This window comes from Homo sapiens, chromosome 10, assembly GCF_000001405.40.
Source record: "Homo sapiens chromosome 10, GRCh38.p14 Primary Assembly".
NCBI lineage: Eukaryota > Metazoa > Chordata > Mammalia > Primates > Hominidae > Homo > Homo sapiens.
The window spans coordinates 44,365,988-44,385,652 of NC_000010.11; the positions used below are offsets into that span (position 1 = coordinate 44,365,988).

Here is a 19,665-nt window from a genome sequence, read left to right on the forward strand (position 1 = left end):
TGATAAGAAGCAGAGATACTCCAGAAGATGCAGTGGGATATAGGTTAGAGATCGTTTTCAATGTTGCTTTGCTTTGTTTTTGATAGGAGATATTATAACATGTTGGCAGGTTAATGTAAGCAGTGAAAAAATTATGGTGTAGCAGAAAGGGGAAGTCAGAAGAGGCATCCTTGTGCAGGTGAGGAATGCTGATCTCCATGTCCCAGGTGCTGGGTGGCAGGGAGGTGGGTGAAAGCAGCTACAGTGCATACATATTGGATGAGTGGGTGGACGAGAGGTGAAGCTTGTGAAAACCCCCTTCTTCTTTTTTTTTTTAACTTTTAAGTTCAGGAGTACATGTGCAGATTTGTTGTATAGGTGAACTCATGTCATGGGGGTTTGCTGTGCAGATTATTTCATCCACAGATATGAAGCCCAGTACCCATTAGTCATTTTTTCTGATCCTCTCCCTCCTCCTACTCTCCACCTTCCAACAGGCCCCAGTGTGTGTTGTTCCCCTCTATGTGTCCATGTCTTCTTATCATCTAGGTCCCACTTATAAGTGAGAACATGTGGTGTTTGGGAAACCCCCCTCCATAATGCTCCCTTTGATTCTGTGACAGAGGAAGCCAGATCATGAGCTGCAAGTTGACAAAGGAGAGGAGGAAGAAAGCTTAACGAAAGAGAAGAAAGCATGGAACAAGCCCCCAGGAGTAGGAAGGGCAAACAGAAGGGCTGAGTAGGATCAGGTGGCTGAGTATGAATTTTGAGAGTGGACAGCAGGGAAGAATTTTTTCTAAGCTCCGATCAGCTTTGGAGGTGCAGGTGCAGGGTGGACTAAGTTAGACTTAGCTGGAGAAGGTTAAACAGCCATTGACAGCTGGGTCCTTTATTCTAAGCCTGGGGCTCTTTCCACTCAGCTGCCAAGTCCACAAGCCCCACTTGCCACCCCAGGCCCCTCCATTCACAGCAAGAATAGGAGGATTGGGGAGTTCAGAGCCTTCATCTATGGCTTCATTCAGCTTTGTTTCTTTTTAGTTTCTTGGGCCAAGGGGTGGACACAATTCCTTATGCTCTTACTTGTAGCAGGGCAATGGCCTTGAAATCTGACAGCAGCTAAGACGGGAACCCCAGGGTTGGGCTGTGACTTGACCAGAGGCTGCTGCCCAGGGCCTGGTGCTGCCTTGCAGCCTGAAGAGTCAGCTTACTCATTAAGTCTGTGAAACATCCATGATGAGGCACTGGCAGGAAACCCTGAAAAGGCATTGTGGAGCTTCCTCCTAGTGGGGGATGTCTAGGAGCAGACTCTACCTGAGGACAGCTGAGGACTTAGCTATCTCCAGTTTGCTCTGCTCAGCGGATACACAGGCTGTGCAGTAGGCCCAAGCCTTCTCTGCACACACCTGGTGGCTGGGCCAGAGCTCTCCCAGGCTGACGGATGTTCACCCGTCTCTTCACAGCTGATGCTGGGCAGGCAGGGTGGGTGCTACACGGGTCCTGTGTGCCTTATGTGGAGAGAGGCTCGGGGAATGCCTCAGGGTCTTTGATCAATCCTAATGGGTAGCAGGCACAGCTAAGGAATCTGTGTGGTCTAAATCAGGGGTCCCCAACCCCCAGGCTGCAGACCAGTAGGGGTCCATGGCCTGTTAGGAACTGGACTGCACAGCAGGACATGAATGGTGGGTGAGGGAGCATTACCACCTGAGCTCACCTGCTGTCATGATAATCAGCAACAGCATTCGATTCTCCTAGGAGAACGCTATTGTGAACTGCGCGTGCGAGGGACCTAGGTTGCGTGCTGCTTATGAGAATCTAACTCACGCCTGATCCTCTGAGGTGGAAGTTTCATCCTGAAACCACACCCACCCCACCCTGCACTGCCCGTGGAAAAATTGTCTTCCAAGAAACCGATCCCTGGTGTCAAAAAGGTTGGGGAACGCTGATCTAAATGGTCTTTCTTTGGAGCTTGCAAGTTGACCCTGGTGATGATTGTTTGAGTGTAAATAGCAGAAATCCTCATTTTACCTCCAAGAGGATTTACTTGGAACACACAGAACCCAAGGCGGGGAGTGTGGCCAGACTTCACCAGTGACCAATGCCCTCTGAGGTTCTCCAGGCCCTCCATGGGCAGCCACAGGTTGCTTCCCTGGTCTTGCATCCCCACTTCTCTCTCTGAATCTGTTTCAAGCAGTGGGGGCTCCCTCTGCTTCTGTCTCCCGGCAGCCCACACTCCAGAGTGCCGAGTCCTCAGCTGCAGGCACAGAGAAAGGGAGCAAAGCCCGATGCTGTTGAATCACAGCCTTGTACTCCTGTGACAGAAAATCAGATCGGCCTGCAATATGCATCCAGTGTCCACTCCATGCAATCAGCCGTGCTGAGGGGACCCCATCACCGTGGGGGTCCAGCTTTCTCAGCTGTGTTTGTGCCTCCCACAAGTGATGGGAATAAGGAAGCTGAAACCCAGTGCCCTGTGCCCCCCATGCCAGACTCCCTGTGTGAGCTACACCTCCGGCTTCTAGAATAAGCCCCCTTTCCAATTCACAGGAGGATACCACCTGGGCTCTCCATGCCAGCCCTCATGGGCTCAGTAGACCACCTCCCCAAAGAATCCACTTTTCTCAGGTCTCACCTTCACCAGCGCTTTTTAAGCAAATCCTTACTGATGCCTAAGTTAGGGGTCTTTTCTGTTTTACGCTTCCCTGATGCCTGAATGCACCACAATCTATGAAAATACCCACTTCTCACACGGCAGCCGCCAGACTGCAGGCTTCATGGAATTAGAGTGAGTGTGTCTTGCTCCCCACACTCCTGCGGTGCAGGAGAGGCATCACAGCTGTTGTTGGCCAAGTAAATGAGGGGAGAATGCAAGCATGCCAGGGCTCAGGTTTTCTTTCTGATGCCAGGTCATTTTGAAGGGTTGGCCCATTGTCGATTCCCAGTGCTAGGATAGCAGTGTGGTGTGCCGGAGATACAGGGGATGCGACCCAGTGACTTCTCCCCATCCTTTAGCTGAGGGGCAGGCTCAGCTTCCAGGTCACTTCCTGCTCCCTTGGTCTCTGAGCTTTGTTAAGGGGCTCAGCAGAGGCAGATGTGGGTCTTATTCTAGCTCTGTGGACCTCAGGAAACAGGAGGTGGAGAGAGGGAGCAAAATGGGGAACTTTCAGGGTGGAGGGGCGGGCTTTGTCCTGTCCCTCAAAAGCTAGCTTCTTCCACACACTCTCCCAGTCTAATCCTCTTGACCGTTGGCAGTAATAAGCTTCAGTGTTGCAGCTGGGAGACTGGAACTCAGAGAGATCAAGGGATGCATCTCAAATCACAGAGGGAGCAGAGAGTGAATGGGACGCAAGCCCCAGTCTACTGATCTTCACACCTGCACAGGTCCCCTGACACCACGCTGCCCTTCCCGGCCTGCTCTAACCCTTCTTCCTTCCCCAGTCCATCTGCAGCTTAGCACCCACATGACGGCCATCCCATTAAGTCATGGGAAGATTTGGCATGGGATGATGTGATCACATCTGGACCAATGGGGAAGAGGGCTTGGAGGACCGGACAATCTGACTCAGACATTCGGAACTTTTGTGCTGACTCTCCTTTCTAACAAAGTTGACTGTGGATGACAGAGAATGTGCTAGAGAGTGTTAAGGGCTGACCTCTGTGAGGACCAGAACCTGTCTGCTGGGCTCATCTCCTATGCCCCATGTCCAGGACAGTGCTGGCTAGCCATTGCTAGGTGAGAGAATCGTGTCTGGCTTCCAGCAAGGTCTCTGTGCAGTGCAGGAAACACACAGAGTGCTGGTCCTCAGCAATTACCATCAGGGCCAGACCTCTGTTGCATTCTCCCAGGACTGAGAAGGGCAGAGTGGAAGCTTCCCTCCTCACAGCTGTCAAGAAATACCTGAGACCCTTGCACAAAACCATCCCTTGTGGAGTGGAGGACAGGCTGGCCTTTCAGAAGCAATTCTAGCAAAATCAAAGACACTCAGAGAAAAGGGAGCACCTTTCCCTGCTAAGGATCAGCTGTCCAGAAGAGGCAAGTATGCCTCCAGAATTCTCAGCTGTGATTAGCATGATTACAATGCCCTGTTTTCCATGAACCACTGTAGCCAGGATTACACAACCCTCAGTTTTGGGTTTGTGGGGAAAAAAAGCACGTCCAGAAAATTCCAAGTAGTAACACTAATTTCAAACTGTTGGTGGCTACATTTGAGTACAGAACTTTATTAGGAAAATTATAAGTGCATATACATTTTTTCATTGGTATGACTTCAAAGTAGAAATTGTTGTTTCTCAAAGAGTTGTTTCTTATTTATTTTTTAAAGCACGCTGCGTATAGGAATTGGCCTTCTCCTGGACCATTTTCACATTATCTGGGAGATGCAATTGAAACAATACAAAATACAGTATTCATCACATTTAACACTGAATCATTCACTGCTCAGAGACTGAGAGTCCAGCGAGGTTGCAAAATAACAAATTTTCTACATGGTTTTATCAGTGGTCTGCTTAGGGGATTTGGAAGTTTCTAGGGAATATTTCCCAGGAATGGGGCTCCTTCAGAATGAGTCAGGGAAGCTCTGTAGAGGGATCAGAGCACTCAAATTCTCATCCAGCTGGAAAAGGGTGTAGCACCTGGGAAAGGCGATCAACTCCCAGTCAGGGAGCCCACGGTGATAACACCAGTCAGACGATCACACCATGGAAGGGTCCAATGAGATCCAATGGAAAGACTTAGAACATCTAAGGTTGGGGGAGGTGCAACCTTCTGCTATTCAGCCCCTCTGCTCCAAGCGGAACCTTTTTTCTCAGGAGGTAATCTCTAATAACAAGCAGAGTGCCCTCTGGAGCCTCCTCGCTGGTATCTCAGTGCCTGGACAGAGGGGGACACACCACAGCACAAACACGTGGCACAGACTCAATCCCAACACACAGCCAGTCAACGAGCCTCTGGCCCCTTCCTCTGGGTCCTGATACAGAGCTGGCAGCGAGGGCCTCTGAAGAGGTTACAGGGAGCCCAAGGGAGTGTCAGGTAGAGGCAGCACCAGGTCCCGGAGGGACAGATGAGGGATCCCTAGTAAACAGCTCGTGGACGCACTTGACTAGCAGTTCGAAAGCAAAAAGAGATTCGGATTACAAGAGACTTTTCCCTTGCAAATGGAAGACTGTATTTAAATGCATATTGCTTTAGCTGGGCAGTCTCCAGGAAGGAGCTGATTGTTAGTAGAGGAATTGTTATGCAAATAATTTTCCCTGCAGTTTCTACTCTTATCTATTTTCTCCCATGGAGGAGAAATAGAAATGATTCCTTTCCTGACTGTAGTCAAGATTTAGGGTCATGTTTGTTTCCTCAACCAAGAATTCAATGGTCTTGGTTCATGGATTGGGGGCAGGTACATCCAAGTTCTACGTGACAGATTTTAAAATATCTTGGATTACCTGGATAATGACTGCCCCACTGAAAACTCAATTATACTGGTATAGTGAGAGGTTAATTTCAAAAGGTTTTGAAAGAGTTCTGTATCTTTATAACTAGTAAAGATCCCTCAGGCTCTATTTTTTCAATATAACATAGCTGGATTGAGGATTTTAATTTTTGTTTAAGGGACAATTTTTGTTGATGGGTTTGCCTTCTGCCATGAAGCTCCAATTTGAAATACTTATGAAAATACTTAACACATGTTACTAATTACCCTACAGATTATTAAATTCAAGAACAGTTACAATTCAAGATTACATCACTATAATTTACTTCCTACTTCCTACATGTTACATAGTTTCCTTGCTTTGACTTCCTTGTTTTCCACTTTCTTCATTAAAATTTTTTTTAACTGGAGTCTTTAATCAAAGGGCAAAAGTATTCGTAAGACTGAATGAAAAACAAAACAAAAACCCACAAGTGCTTGCCTTTGTCAAAAGTGAACATTTTAAGTGGCTTAATACAGCTCTATCGACTGCCCTCAGTGGAAGGGGAACACTCCAAATGTCAGGCAGGTTGACTTACTCTTCACATAGCACATTGTTCTCTTAGAGAAATGTCCTGTGGGAAGGGCCCGAAGCACAGGTGACACGCAGAGCAGAGAGGGCCCAGGAGGAAGGCAGGAGATGATGGCATTGCCAAATGGTGAAGAAGATGAGGTTAGATGTGAATTGGGAAAGAATCTTCATGTCCAGGATTGGTTATTTTGTGGACTGGGTTTTAAAAACCAAAAACAAGTTGTGAATGCTTGTTTTCCTCAAGCAGTGCTGGGCTTGGCCCTAGTTTGAAGGTACTGACATGTGAGGGAGCACTGATGGGGCAGCAATCCTCTGGGGTCAACCCTGGTGCACACCGAATTCCCTTGGGCTCTGCCCATGGACCCACCATGTTTTTGTGATCAGTGGGGGAACCAAGGTAGTTCACCCCAAAGGACCACGGCTCTGATCAGGACTGCACTCAAAGGGCCCAAGGAGCATCTCCTCGCTCAGCGGCTGCACAGGGGGAACAGTGCATGCATCAAGACATTGGTCACAGAGGAGGACGCTGGCTTTGAACAAAAACATAGGATTGGACAATGGACAATATTCCAAACAAGACACAGATGTGCACAGTGTTTTCAGGTAACACAAGACATTTTCATTTCCTGCTTGGTGCACAGTTTACATGAAAGCTTTGGTCCTGAGAGTCCTTTTGCAGGGCCATGGAGACAGTCGTGGACACACATGATGATGGATGAGACAGAGAATGATGAGCAGAACGTGGAGGATGTGGAGGTGCTCGGGATGAGGGCTGGGTCTCACTCTGCCCTGGCCTCACACTGCTGCCTCAGCTCAGGGTAGCCCTGCTGCCCTCCCAGAAGAGGCAGACCCGGCTCCCATGTGGATGGAGAAGGGGGTGAGCCTCCCATGTGGCCCTCCACCATCCCATCCCACAGAGAGAAGCCTTCACTAGGCTTTGCCCAGGTTGACTGGTCCTGGCACCCCCAGGCGTCCCTCTTGGTGGCTCTCCACCCTAGGGCTGACCATGGGGCCAGGCTCCCTCAGCCCAGTCTCCCCACCTGCACAGCTCAGAGAATACAAAACCCAGGAGCCCTGAGTCAGAGGAGTGGCTCCGTGGAAAGACACTCTAATAAGGCAAGTACAATAATGGCCTTAGTCTAAGCTGCTACGTGTCGCCAGTGACACTGAATAATCAAACTAAATGAAAAATAAATGTCATGTATTTTGCTACATAATCAAATGGTGAAAATATGGCAAAGTGTGCAAAACAAAGCCCTTGGCAATGCCTGGGGCCCTGCCCTGGCAGGGGAGGCTGTGGCAGGCCCTTCCCTAACACTGGTTTCAGAGCTGGGCTCCTACTGTAAGGGTTCCTCAGGCGTCTGACCCTCTCACATCTTGAACCTCCTGTTGACAAGAACAGAGGGAAACACCATTAAGGCAGGTTCCCCCCACACCCAGCCAGCTCCAGAAGGACAGCGGCCTGCGCGGAGGCCCTGGGGCCAATCCCTACTTCCAAGTTGCCACCTTGGCCATGCATCTCCCTTCAGAGGCCCTGCGACAACAGACGGGAGGGGAGTGCGAGACGCAGCCAGGCTGAAGCGGAGGGACCCATGGATGGCAGAAAGCAGAGGACAGACACGTGGCAAGCACTGGGCGTGGCAGACGCACGAAGGCACAGAGAGGCCCATCAGAGTGGTCATACGACGGGGACAGGGCACACTGCTTACCCGGCACCGGCGTGGGGCTGAGGCTCAGGATGCTGCTGCCCTGCATCCTGGCCTCGGCTGTCCCAAGAGGCACTTTCGTGGCTTCCAGTAACCCTTCGCCCTCGGGGCCTCTCAGCCAGGGGCCATGCCACCGTAGGTGGCCCCAGGTGGGACTGCTGGAGGTGGCACAGGGGTGGGTGCACAGGTGGCCAGGACCTCCCAGGAGGAACGCATGCTGGACAGAGCAGTGACCATAGCGCACCCCTCATTTGGCTCTGACTGGTGTGAGCACTTCCTAGTTTCAACCCACCAGGAATCCCGGTCAGGCTCTTCACTCTTCCACGGCGACCCTGTCTTCAGCACTGGGTGTACCACCTGCTCCCAGGAGCTTCACAAGCCACTTGTAAACCACAGTGAGCCCCCAGGGCACATACAGTCACATCAAGACATCAAGACAGGACGGACCTTGCATGCGTTCTCAAGGTGGGACCCACTCTCAGTCCCTGCAGACCCTGCTCCCCAGGAGTGGGATAGCAAGCAGTTTGTATCCTCAGGCAGCCTTAGCTGGGCCCTCTGTCCCTAGGGGGCCAACAGCTTTTCATACTGACCAGGACAGACTGGCCACCCCTCCCCAGGCACAAAGCCCTGCTGCATGTGGAGTCCGAAGAATGCAGGCGAGTATGGGGGCACAGGTTTGCCCTCTCGGGGCGCTTTTGTCAAGAGTCCCATGGACTAGAGTGGCTACTGGCTTCCACGGGAAGGATGGCAGCCCCAGGCAGCCCACCCAACAGCTCTGTGCCTTAAGAGGTGGGGAGGGCAGAAGACTAGGGCACCCCTGTACCCAGGGCTCAGGCCTGTGACCCCCAGTGCTGGCAAGAGGAACGTGGGCCAGGAGAGTTGTCCAGGTAAAAGAGATAGCAGCGGGAAACAAAGGTCTTTGGCTGAAGCATCCTAGGACACCTCCCCAACGAGGAGAAGGCATGGCTGTGATCACAGGGAGCTCATTAAAGCTCAAGGGGACACCACGCTCCGGGACAGGGTGTGTCTGACATGCAGGGGTCTTTGTGGGTTTTCTCCTGAATTCCATGTGCTCCATCCTCCAACCACTTTCTCTTTCTGCATTTATTAAAATTATGACCCAGGATCCGGGTGCAGGGTGGGCGGGTGTTTATGTGAGGTGGAGAAGGGCTGAGAAATTCAACGCATCCTTTTTCCGAGCACTACTGAAATGGGGTCCTTGCTCTTCCATCCTCCCGGTCCAGATTAGAGAAACTTGCCAAAAAATCTCACACATACATCTACATGGGCAGGGAAGGAGGGTGCAGGAAAGTTCCTAGAGCTTAAGTGGTATTTGCTTTAGGCAGATAAGGTATTTCCCATGAATGAGGACAGAGGCAGCTGTGCCCTGCAGCTGGAGCACACGCCATCACGCAGGAGGCGGGAGGGGACAGGCTGGGATCCCCAGGGATTCAGGACCCTTGCAAAGTTCCATAGCACATCTGTCCTCCACGTGGGGGACCCGTTTAAAGACTCTAAAGAGAATTGCCCAAAGAGGAGCTCCCTGAGAAGTGTTTCCACATCTGCTCTCTGAGAATGCAGCATTCCCTCGGGCTCACCCCACACAGTTTGCAGAAACCCACCCGGGCTTGGGGATAAAGCCACTCCCACAACCCAGGAAGGAGGGGCTGAAGAAGCCCCTTCCCAGGTGGCAGAGTGCTGGAGGGAAAGGCAATGGGTATTTGGAAAAAGCCAGGGCCCATTCCTAAGGGTCAGTCAGTTTTCACCTTTCCTGAGGGCCACAGAGGGGTGGCACACCCCCTTCCTGGCGAGGCCACCTCTGCTAGCAGGTTGCCCTGCACACTGGCCAGGTGGCCACAGCCTGGTCTCCACAGGAATGCAGACTGCAAGTGTGTGGAGCTGGTGAGCTCCCCAGTGAGCGCAGGCCTTCTAAGAGAGGAAGTGGAGGGCGGGCTGGGGGGCTCAGCAACCTGGGCATTCCTGGAGCTCCCAGGCTATTCTGGACAGAGTCCTGAGCACACAGGCTCCGCGTCACAGACCCCCGCCCCAGTCTCTGCACAACTACTTTCTTCATAACTTAGCAGACCAACAAGGGCCTTAAAAAGCACATAAATACAGAAGCCGGTGTGGCTGGCAGGGCAGCAAAGCACTGCTCCCCCACGGAAGTCTGAGCCCCTGCCCAGTCTGCATGGGGGTCTGTCCTGGAGGAGGATCGAGCAAATTTACAAAGCGCCGAGAGCAAGTGAACTGTGGTCCATCTCGAGGTGGCAGATAACTAGTTTTTCCTTTTCTGGGCAGCCTTTCTCTTCTTCTGTCGCTTCTTTTTTCCTATCTTTTCTTTTTTCCCCACTTTTTCTTCTCTGCGCCCCCTTAGATAAAATTAGTAGAACCATTAATAATGTGGAAATAAACAAAAGTTCGTCTCAGTCTGCATAAGATTTAACACTGGCCCGTGTACTGGTTAAACTGTGCCTTCAGTCTCAGGCCTGGAGGCCCCTGGTCAAAGCACTGTTTATCAGTAATTCATTAAAATAAATTGGACATTTCCTTCCATTCAAACAAATGTTCAATGGGCTCCTAGAACACCTTTGTGAATGGGTTACAGCGACTGCCAATCTGCCAACCTGAACCTGATTCCCACTGGGGACAAGGAATCCACATCTCAGGGTACACCCAGGGCCAGGCTGGCCATCGTGGTCCTTGTCACCCCACCCTGCCCTGTTCTCATGGGACTTTTTCTTCTTCTCAATGCAGGGCTGAACTCTTAGCTTTCTCTAAGAAATGTCTGCATTTCAAATTGAATAACGTTTTGGAGGCTGCAGGCCCCAGGTTCAGACTGCCATTCAGAAGAGGAGAAAAAAGGCAGTGGTCCCACCTTCCCCTTTCTAGACGCCTGTGAACACTCCTGGGAATGAATGCGATTGTTCTGGAGAGCAAGGGAGAGAGCTGGTTAGCAGAATTTTATTAGAGCAACTGGCTCGTGACTGTCACATTAAAATGATTCAAGCTGAATGGTATTTAATGATTTATGGGGTGAGGCCACCTGTCCCTGTGAAAGCTTCATATTAACCATGGCCTGGAGTCATGGGATTTTTACATGGGAAAATGTAAAAGGTTGATATTACTAGGGTTGAGTCTCTGGGGATTACATGGGGAAGTTAGGAGAACCAAGGAGGAGGAGGGAGGGAAGACGAATTAGTGAGTCAAATATTATTCTTCAGAAAACCAGCACTGCTATTTCAATCGGGTTAAAAAAAAAAAAAAAAGATCCAAAAACTTGAGCTGCAGATCTAATCTGCTCGTGAGAAAAGCCCATACACTGTCACACATGGGCTGTGAGAAGGGGTCTCAGACACCTGACTGCAGGCAGGCTTAACTATATAAACCAGAAACGTCTATAAGCTCCATCACTAACAACTAATGAATTTTATTTCAGGTAAATAAATTCCCACATACAGTAGGACGTTTATACCATGAAACAATTAGCATTTTATTGCTAGTGCATATAATGTCACATTTGATACAATTTTAGTACAAGTGAAAAAATACACTGTGGCTAACATTGAAAAGCTGCAATCACATTTATATATCATATATATTTCTTTACAAATTGCCAGTAGTTTGAGATAATAGAGAAGTATAAACTACTGACATTCATATGGCTCCACTTCAAATATATGAATTGTTCGACTATAAATATATTTTGAAATACATTTGTTTTCTAAAGAAACGTAAAAAAAAATGTGCACAAAAATATATATAAAAAAATGCCTTGCAAAAAGTTACAAATACCACCAGGACCTTCTGTGGATCGCATTTATGCATGGAAATGTCACCTTGCCAACAGTTCTGATTGGAACCTGAAACCCTGCTGTGGCTTCAGGAGGGGGTAGTGGCAAGATGATGGTTTATTCACTGATTTTTTCGCTTCTGATTTCGGAAACCTCAGAGTTTGTTAGTGCCTCCATGGCATACATAGGCTTCAGAGGCAATCACAAAACCCAGTCACTCAAAGCGAGCTCTCAGATTTAAAATTGCATTTGATTCTGTAAAGACTTGTCTTTTGCGGGTAAGCAGGGGGACCATTACACATCCCCAGGAGAGGGCCAGCTCCATTCTGGAGGAGGCCAAAGACGGATCTCACAGAGGGCCCGAGCTGTGGGGCAGGCCCTGGGAGGAGAGGGATGCAGGGCACGAGCCCCAGCAATCACCCTCTTCCCGGCTGGTGCGGCGCTGATCAGGCTACAGAAATGAGAAGCAGAAGCAAGATTAAGCATGCTCTCGGAGTCGGGGAGAGAGTAGGAATAGCTGGGAGAGGGGTCTCTGAGCACAGTCCCAGTAATAGTGGCTTCTACATGGAGCCCACAGAGCCAATCACTGAGGTTGAAAGAGGAGGTGAAGGCAGTGGCGGCGCCCAGCCCCAGTCGGTATCTGAGTGCCACAGAGGCCTTCCTCTTGGGAGGGGCGCTGCTGCGGGAGCCTCAGTGTCTGAAGAAAGGACACTTTTTCCAGCTCCCTGTTAAGCCACCACCTGACTGTGCCCAGACTCCCCAGGGGAGCAGAGGAGATGCTCCAAACAAGCCAAATTCAGATCTTGAAGTACTCGTTGATTTAAAAAATGAGAATGAGAATGATGATGATTGTGATGATCATGAAGGAACTAACTGCTTGAAAATGCTGTTGATAATACAATTTCTTTCTTAGAAAAACCCCAGTAATAAAAGTTCCAACGTGCACAGGTACAGGGCATGGATGAATATAAGCTGCAATATCATACCGTATGCTATAAATGCAGGGTCTAAATGCTGGCAAACCTCAGGCCCGATCCCAGATCAATGTGCCCACCCCACACACACACCTGGTCCTCATGGTTAAGGCCCCCTCCCCCACGTCTTTGCCCTTTCATCTCTCACAAGGTTTTAGTTTTCCTCGAGTGGGTCTAGCGGAAAGTCCTTTTTGGCTGTTGTGCTTACTTGTTTAAAGCTTTCTCCAGGTACTCCTGAATCCACTTTAGCTTCGGGTCAATGCACACTTGTCTGTTGTTGTTCTTCAGCCGGGCTCTGTGAAAACAGAATGGCAACAGTGTGCGGCTGCACAGGAGGAAGGCGCGGCTGCAACGTGTGCATCCGCTCCCCCAACACCCATCTAGGGCCCTCGCTGGCACCCCGTGCTCCACTTGGTACGCTCAGGCTCCAGAGGTGCTCGCGGTGTGCTGGGGAAAGCTCAGCGCTGGCAGTGCAGGAAGTTCCATTGCAGAGACATGGAAATGTGAACAGAAGTCTTTCCGGGGCAGTGCAGGGGAATTCATGTAAGGGAGCATTTGAGCTGCCTTTGAAGGATAAGTAGGAGCTTGGAGAGTAAATAAACGGGAAGGGAAAATCAGGAGCAAATACGCCAGGGGGGTCATCAAAGCATACAGAGGAAACTGAGGAAGGGGACGACAGGATGCTCTAGGTACCTGGGGAGGGGAGAATGGAGAGCAACAGAGCAGAGGTTTATTTGGATGGGTCATCTTGATAGATATAGGGCCGACTTAAGGATGGGCATGAGGAAGCCTGGAGGAAGGAGGCCTGCCAGAAGTCACCGCGGTCTGACCGGGAGGGTGACCAGCCAGGGAGGGGAGGGGCAGTGCAGGTGGCTTACCAGAAAATAGTTTCTAGAAAGATTTTACAAGTTCACTGAATGTTTCTTGGTCTCATTTGTTTTTTAAAAGTTCACACTCTTAAAAGCTTCCCTACATGCAAACTCCTGGGGAAGGCCTGATTTCATCTCTCTGAATCTCTTGCCAGAAAGCCCTTTGGTGCCAGGTAATCTCATGCAGCCCAAGTACTTAAGGGTCTTGAGGACAGCTAAGCCCCAGAACAGTGGTTCAGGGGCACCCAGGGAGTCTTCAAGCAGCCTGTCCATTAGGTGAAGAGGGGTGCAGAGATGGGTGTGGCTCGGAGCAACCCACATTGGGGTCCAAATCTGGGGCCTATTCTTTGTTAATTTAGTGTCTGCTCAGACCTGAGAATTGTATTTGGCATCTTCAACTTCAAGGTGCATTTCCAGGCCAGTAAACCAGCATGATCAGTGCTGTAAAGCAGGTCCAAGGTAGCTAAATTGAGCATCTTTAAAATACTCTTCACAAGAGATAAAGTATCATGTTGTAGGCAAAGTACAGAAAAAACATTCATTTTCTAGGGCCCTAAAACATACTGTAAATAACAAACACATTCAAGGCAGTAAAGGGTTAACTCAAAACTAAAAACAGTTTTCTAAAATCAAAAGTAAAAACATTTGGTGTTGGGTGGAAAAGTCTTGGGAAAGTTGTAGCTTTGGTTCCAACTGCTGTCTCCCCACCCCATTTTTAGCACTAGAACTTCTGAGCAATCAAATCCTCTCCAGGAGACTCCCTGAGCCCTCGCTTCCCCGTGTTCAGACACAGGACCTCTTGAGCATGAGAGGGCTTTCAAGCACATGGCTTTCTTCCCGCATTTCTCCCGGTCTTCTGTACCCAGCTGAGATCTTCCTGTCTTGTGGATGTGTGATTTTGGTCTTTGTTTCCCAAATGAATAAAATCAAATGTTAGTGGCTGCCATCCACACCAAATAACACCAAAACCTCATATGTTGTACTTGAGAAAATACAGGCAAGTGAGCTGAAAATGTTGAAGTTTCACCCAATGGTTAAAGAGGACTTAAACTGCATTTGGGTCTTGTGAGTTAATGTAGGGCATCAGATCCCCGAAACTGGCAGGCCAGTTATCACTGTTATTAGCTAAGGGCTGGCTAATTTACTAGGCTTCAGCCAAAACCTTGGTGAAGCCCATAGTTTCTCCAGCATCCAGCTGTGCTGTGCTGAAGAACACAGGTTTGGAAAGAAGAGAGAACTACTACGAGCACAGCAGGGTGCCCAGGCCAAGAGCGGCTTTTAAAATTAATGCCTGGTGGCATACTAAAGGTCCTCATGATAAGAATAGCTGCCACTAATTATGCCAAGTTCAAGGTTGGACACTTGGCTTGTCACCTCTACACCTTTAATAAGACTCGGGTTAGATGTTACTATGTTCGTTAGATGCAACTATGTTCGTTAGATGATGTTCAATTTCAAGACTTACACAATCTGAAGGGCACAGTTTGGAGTGTTGAGAATTTTGAGATGCTTGACGTTGGCTCTGGCAACATGGCTTTCGAAGAATCGGCATGGGCATCTGTAGCTCAGGCTGACGGGCTTCCCTAGAAGAGGTAAGGACAACAAGGCACTTTACTACCCTGCCAGATTTTGGTAATGTGTGTCTGGGCTGCAGCAGTTGGTGCAGCGATTAAGGATCAAGAGACGGCATCACTGGGGTAAGTTCCAGGTTACTGGTGTATGTTGGGAAAGGCCATCTCCTCAGGCAACACAGTGAGTGCTGGCTGAGCTCAGGCTCAGCTTCTACAGGGCAAGGAGCCCAACAGGCCTGGGGAGAGCCGGAGCCTAGATGAGGCGGGAGTTTAAATTAGAAGCCACCTGCTCAGTGTCTCAAGATAAAGGTAGTAATTATAGTAGATAACGGTTTCAGTCCAAGGTACTGAAATTTCCAGTTACTCTTTGTAAAAAAAATTCCTCAAGGGACAACTGAGAAAGATCTCCCTACTCAGGGAAAAGAAAGGGGGACAAGAGGCTCCAGGCTCCCTGGCCTCTCTCCTCTGGCACAGGCCTCTAGCCAGGAAGCACAGTAGTACTCAGGAATGCTGCCCTCCCCCACCCCAGAGACCCCTCCTCACATTCACCTAAAGCTCTGGAAGGCACAAAAGAATCCTGGCTGGCTTCCTACCTGTGAGTCCCCTGAGAGCAGGCCAAGGACCCACCTTCTGCCCAGCACTTTCCCCAAGGCTTAGAGATTAGTGGAGCTGGAGTTAAATGTGGTTTTCATTGCCTAGGCAGGGATGCTGTAGCCTCAGGAATTGTATTAAGATCTTTGCAAAATCACCAATTTACAAAATGCCATAATTGACACTCATTAGTGTAAATTAGCAAGGGGCTCCTGCAGAACCCACTGCTCACCCTTTAAATATAGGATTGCAAGCCCTGGAGGGCTGGGATTTGTGTGTGCTTTTTGTTTTTCTTTTTTCCTTGAAGATTTTATCCAAGCCCCACTTAATACCCCAAATTATTTGAACTTGTGGATCCTTTCATCAGAGATTAAATATATGTCTAAGAATATTTGGTCCAGAGATTTTTTTTCTTTTTTCTTTTTTTTTAAGTTTGCCTGTTTACAAAGTTCTGAGAGACCTCTGTGGTTCTGAAATTCTGCACCTTTGGGAAAGAATGCTGGGGAAGTAGGAGGAAATCTTGAGTAAGGGGCTCATTTTATTTTATTTTTTCTACAGACTGCAATCAATTGAGGGATGATGTGGACTAGGAATTGCATTGTGTATTCAGCCACCAAGTTGCAGGAAAAGTGGACCACTTGTCCCCCCACTTCCTTGTCCCCAGGACCAAATGCAACTCCCTGAAAACCAGGAAAAAGCCAAGCATCAGGGTGCTGGTGACTCATGGCACTGGAGAGACCTAAGGCAGCCTTCACAGTTACACCTGATCTAACTCCAGAAAGGCACCTCTGGGGCCAGCTTCCAGCAGCTGCACTGGGACCCTGCAGGGGAAGTCAGCACTGCACTGTAACCAGATCACCTGGGAAAGCCACCCCCAGGGCCGGGGCCTGCAGCCTGGGTAACTGAGGAGCTAAACGCTCCTGAGTGTTGTGCCTCCAGGTTTCCCTGGATTTCTTTTGGGCCCTTCCAAGCTGAGGCAGGGGGTGGGTTGGGGGTGGAGCAGGAGAATAGGAGGCCGGTAGTGAGGCACAAGCCCCCTCCCGGCAACAGTGAGCTTGAAGATATGCAGCCAAGGGCAAGTGCTGCAGCCGCCCCCGCTGGGATGGGTGGGGCTGTGACTCTCCAGCGCCCAGAGGAGAGAAGCTCCTCTGGCCCCCCAACCAAGCAGTGGTGATGAGGCCAGAAATCAGAGCCTATTCAGAGCTCAACACACAGGCTCTCTCTCCTCTCCCCCTCCACCCCCTGGGATTATCCATTTCCTTCAAAAGCAATTCTTGCTTCTACTCCCAGGACCTAAGGCCCGCCTGTCAAGCAGCGAATTTCAACAGGTCTTTTTAAAGTGACAGAGCCCCCAGGTGTGCTTACCAAAAGAACATGGTCTCGTGTGTACCTCATGTGCTCCTTCCTCCAGCTTTTTGTCAGTAAGACTAACTTTCCCAACCGTTCTGGATGTAAATCCGTGTACCGGCAAGAGTCCTGACTGGCTCTGATGGTACCCCGGATTTGGGACCGGGTGAGCTTGGCTCCAGGAGTTTTCAGAAAGCCCTCCAGTCTAATGCAGAGACAGGAGCCCAGCTGGCCCCTCCAAGCAGGCTTGGGAAGGGGGCCCACCCTGAGTTTAAGCCCGGGAAACCCAAGGGCCCAGCTGCCTGACGGAAGTCAGCCAATGGGGGAGGGGCAGGACCCCTGGCCAAGCTCTCTCTGTAGTGCAGCTTGAGGACTAAGTGTGGGGATAGGGGGCACATAGGCACTGTGAGGTGAGGGGAAAACAAAACAAAACAAAACATTCTGGCGATGTGTGTAAGGAGCAGATCTGCCTGGAGCCCAGGCTCCTGCCCTGGTTACTTGGCTGCCAATGGGGCAACTCTGAGGGCCATGTCACCCTTCCCAGGCCAGGAGGAGTCTGGGATGAACCCCACGTCTCTGTGCTTCCCCCAGGTCAGTTGCACCCATAACTCAAAGACCGAGGTTCCTCATTCCAATCCTCTCTCCAGCCCTCCGGGGAGGGGGCAGCACCATTTCCCAGAGCGGCGCACTGTGACACCTCCGCGCTCATCCCACCAATCAGTCAATAACTGCCCAAACCAGAGACCTTACAGGAACAGAAGAATATCCAGCAATAAAAACTAGAAACATGCCCCATGACTTGCGGGGGGGGGGGGGGGTCAGTGTGCAGACACAGCCTCAGGGACTTTTCATCAACGACGAACATTCCCAATTGCCTTCAGTCTGTGTCCTTAACACTTAGGCAGTCCGCCACGACCCCAGGCTGCCCAGCTTCTCCAGCCCGACTCAGCTGCGCTGGTCCTGCTCACACCAGCGCACAGTCCAAGCCAGCTAGGACGCCGGGGCCACGTCTGCACCAACCCAGCCAAGGGCTCGAGGCGCGCTGGGCCTGCACAGCCCGCGGCTGCAAGAGCACTCAGAGTGTCCTTCAACTCTTTGCAGGAAACTTCACAGCCAAGGAAGCTCAGCGGCCTGAGCCACAGGGTTTTGTTTTGTGTGTTCAGAGGCAACAGTTTATTTTGGTTTGCATCGGTGTCCTGTGACAGCGCAGCGAGTTTCTCTTCAGCGAAAGAAAAGAAAAAAGCCCTCTCCCAGTGAAACGGGACACCACGGTTCCCAGTGGCCCAGGGCCTTGGAGATTGAACTTTGCTGCAGCTCTCATTCTGGGGCAAAGCGCTTGGCCAGCTGGTGACAAAAGAGCCTGTCTGCAGGTGTGTTTGGGGAGCTGGGGAGGGGGCGTGTGAGGCTCGGAGGGTCCCTGGGCCTCTCTCAGGTGAACCCGAGAAGAGACAGGAAGACAGCGGCTGGACGCGCGCCCAGGTCCGCGTCGCTGCGGACCGCGGAGCTGTGCAGAAGCGCGGCCTGGCGGGTGGCACAAGCCCGACAGCTGCGCCGCGCAGCCCGCCCGCGCCTGGCCAAGAGCCCCGCGAGGGTGTGGGGAGAGGATCGGCTTCGCAGGGAGCGGAGGCTGCGCGGCTGCATCGGACCTCACAGCCTCAAGTCGCGGCATGAGGCGAACTTTGCAAAGCGCGCTCTCGCCATGCACCGCCCGACCTCCAGCACTGTGCGCAGCAGGACCTCGGAGCCCATTCGCCTGTGGAAACCGAGCCCGCAGCGGGAAGGCAGTGGGTGGAGGGTGGGCAGGCAGGGGTCTGGGGTCCGCGGCTCCCCACCCTCGCGCCTTCCCGCGCCAGTCCCGAACGCTCTCTTGGGGCGTTCCTGCCCAGTTGTCCCGGCTGACCTCGCTCTGCAGCCAGCTTGAGGTCAGGCGGTCGCTCTCTGCAGGTCACAAACCCTCGGCGCAAAAGTAGGGCTTTGAACGCGACACCGCACCAGAGCGCCCAGCTAAGCGAGCTGCCTCCACCCCCACTGTGTCGGGCGGCGCAAACTGCGGGCGCAGGCAGAGGAGCCGCGGCTCTGCGCCGGGCGGGAGCCGAAGCCCAGAGCCTCGCCAGGGCCTCCCCGCCGAGCGCACTTACCGTCGCTGAGGCAGAGCGCGGTCAGCACGAGGACCAGCACGACCACGACCTTGGCGTTCATGGCGCGGGCGGGCGGGCGGGCGGGCGGACGAGCGCGGGTCGGGGGCCGGACGCCGAGCGGGCAATGCGGCTGACGGAGAGTGAAAGTGCGGCGGTGGGAGGCGCGCGCCGGGCGCTTTAGAGGGGAGAGCCAGGCGGGGCGGGGCGGGGCGCGCGGTGAGGGGCGGGCCCGGAGCCGAGTGCTGGCCGTGGCCGGGGTCTCTGACGCGCGACTCCCTCGGCGGCACCCCCCACCCATCCCCTTCGCCCCTCCTCCGCTCCCTCTGTGCTCCCGAGGCGCAGTGCGCTCCGGCCTTTGACCTTCTCAGGCTCCGCTGGGCCCCGCACCGCTGGCCCGGTCTGCAGTGAGGTCCGCAGCCTGAGCGACGCCGGCTGGAGGGCCGCTTATTGTCCCTGTGACAGGGCCCCACTGGAGAGACTGAGGACCTTAGGCGTAAAGTGGGGCGCGCGTGGAAAGCTGCGGGACGGGGCCTTTCGATGGCGGGAACTGAATGAGAACCAATGAAAAGCAAACAAGTTAGTCCCGGGCGGAGGGCCTGCTGGCGGTGGCGGCCCAAGGCAGCCGAGGGGGTCCTGCTTTCTGTGCGTGGGGGCTCAAGCTCGCCACCTGCCCGGCTTGCGGCGCAGCCGCCGGCAGAGCTCGATCTG

General features: G+C 51.8%; 1 protein-coding gene across 5 annotated transcripts, besides 5 other annotated features; it reads right to left on the reverse strand.

Moving 5' to 3' along the window:
- On the reverse strand, positions 4,178–19,110 carry CXCL12 (C-X-C motif chemokine ligand 12). 5 transcript variants are annotated; one of them, NM_000609.7, is made up of 4 exons: positions 18,958–19,110; positions 14,776–14,893; positions 12,650–12,736; positions 4,178–7,356 (listed from the first exon to the last, which is right to left on the reverse strand). In NM_000609.7, the coding sequence occupies exons 1-4, from the start codon at positions 19,016–19,018 to the stop codon at positions 7,341–7,343; spliced, it is 282 nt and encodes a 93-aa protein (NP_000600.1). In that variant the 5' UTR covers positions 19,019–19,110; the 3' UTR covers positions 4,178–7,340. The 5 variants fall into 5 exon arrangements, with proteins under 5 accessions (NP_000600.1, NP_001264919.1, NP_001029058.1 ...); NM_001033886.2 differs by lacking the exon at positions 4,178–7,356 and adding an exon at positions 9,880–10,045; NM_001178134.2 differs by lacking the exon at positions 4,178–7,356 and adding an exon at positions 11,080–11,918.
- Positions 4,837–5,385: an enhancer, noted in NCBI's record as "OCT4-NANOG-H3K27ac hESC enhancer chr10:44866272-44866820 (GRCh37/hg19 assembly coordinates)". NCBI's record gives its function as "activates a minimal SCP1, AML or CMV promoter by ChIP-STARR-seq in naive H9 embryonic stem cells {active_cell/tissue: H9 hESC(naive)}" and the evidence as "EXISTENCE:reporter gene assay evidence [ECO:0000049][PMID:30033119]".
- Positions 12,390–13,336: an enhancer, noted in NCBI's record as "H3K27ac-H3K4me1 hESC enhancer chr10:44873825-44874771 (GRCh37/hg19 assembly coordinates)". NCBI's record gives its function as "activates a minimal SCP1, AML or CMV promoter by ChIP-STARR-seq in naive H9 embryonic stem cells {active_cell/tissue: H9 hESC(naive)}" and the evidence as "EXISTENCE:reporter gene assay evidence [ECO:0000049][PMID:30033119]".
- Positions 16,666–17,359: an enhancer, noted in NCBI's record as "NANOG-H3K27ac-H3K4me1 hESC enhancer chr10:44878101-44878794 (GRCh37/hg19 assembly coordinates)". NCBI's record gives its function as "activates a minimal SCP1, AML or CMV promoter by ChIP-STARR-seq in primed H9 embryonic stem cells {active_cell/tissue: H9 hESC(primed)}" and the evidence as "EXISTENCE:reporter gene assay evidence [ECO:0000049][PMID:30033119]".
- Positions 17,360–18,053: an enhancer, noted in NCBI's record as "H3K27ac-H3K4me1 hESC enhancer chr10:44878795-44879488 (GRCh37/hg19 assembly coordinates)". NCBI's record gives its function as "activates a minimal SCP1, AML or CMV promoter by ChIP-STARR-seq in naive H9 embryonic stem cells {active_cell/tissue: H9 hESC(naive)}" and the evidence as "EXISTENCE:reporter gene assay evidence [ECO:0000049][PMID:30033119]".
- Positions 18,054–18,745: an enhancer, noted in NCBI's record as "H3K27ac-H3K4me1 hESC enhancer chr10:44879489-44880180 (GRCh37/hg19 assembly coordinates)". NCBI's record gives its function as "activates a minimal SCP1, AML or CMV promoter by ChIP-STARR-seq in naive H9 embryonic stem cells {active_cell/tissue: H9 hESC(naive)}" and the evidence as "EXISTENCE:reporter gene assay evidence [ECO:0000049][PMID:30033119]".

What these genes read in the sequence shown, in the direction of transcription:
- CXCL12 (NM_001178134.2), bottom strand. Translation starts at nt 19,018, where the DNA reads ATGAACGCCAAGGTCGTGGTCGTGCTGGTCCTCGTGCTGACCGCGCTC. An exon ending in CGCGCTCTGCCTCAGCGACG is followed by an intron (nt 14,894 to 18,957) that starts GTAAGTGCGCTC and finishes TACCTCTTCTAG; the next exon opens with GGAAGCCCGTCAGCCTGAGC. An exon ending in AACTGTGCCCTTCAGATTGT is followed by an intron (nt 12,737 to 14,775) that starts GTAAGTCTTGAA and finishes CTGTTTTCACAG; the next exon opens with AGCCCGGCTGAAGAACAACA.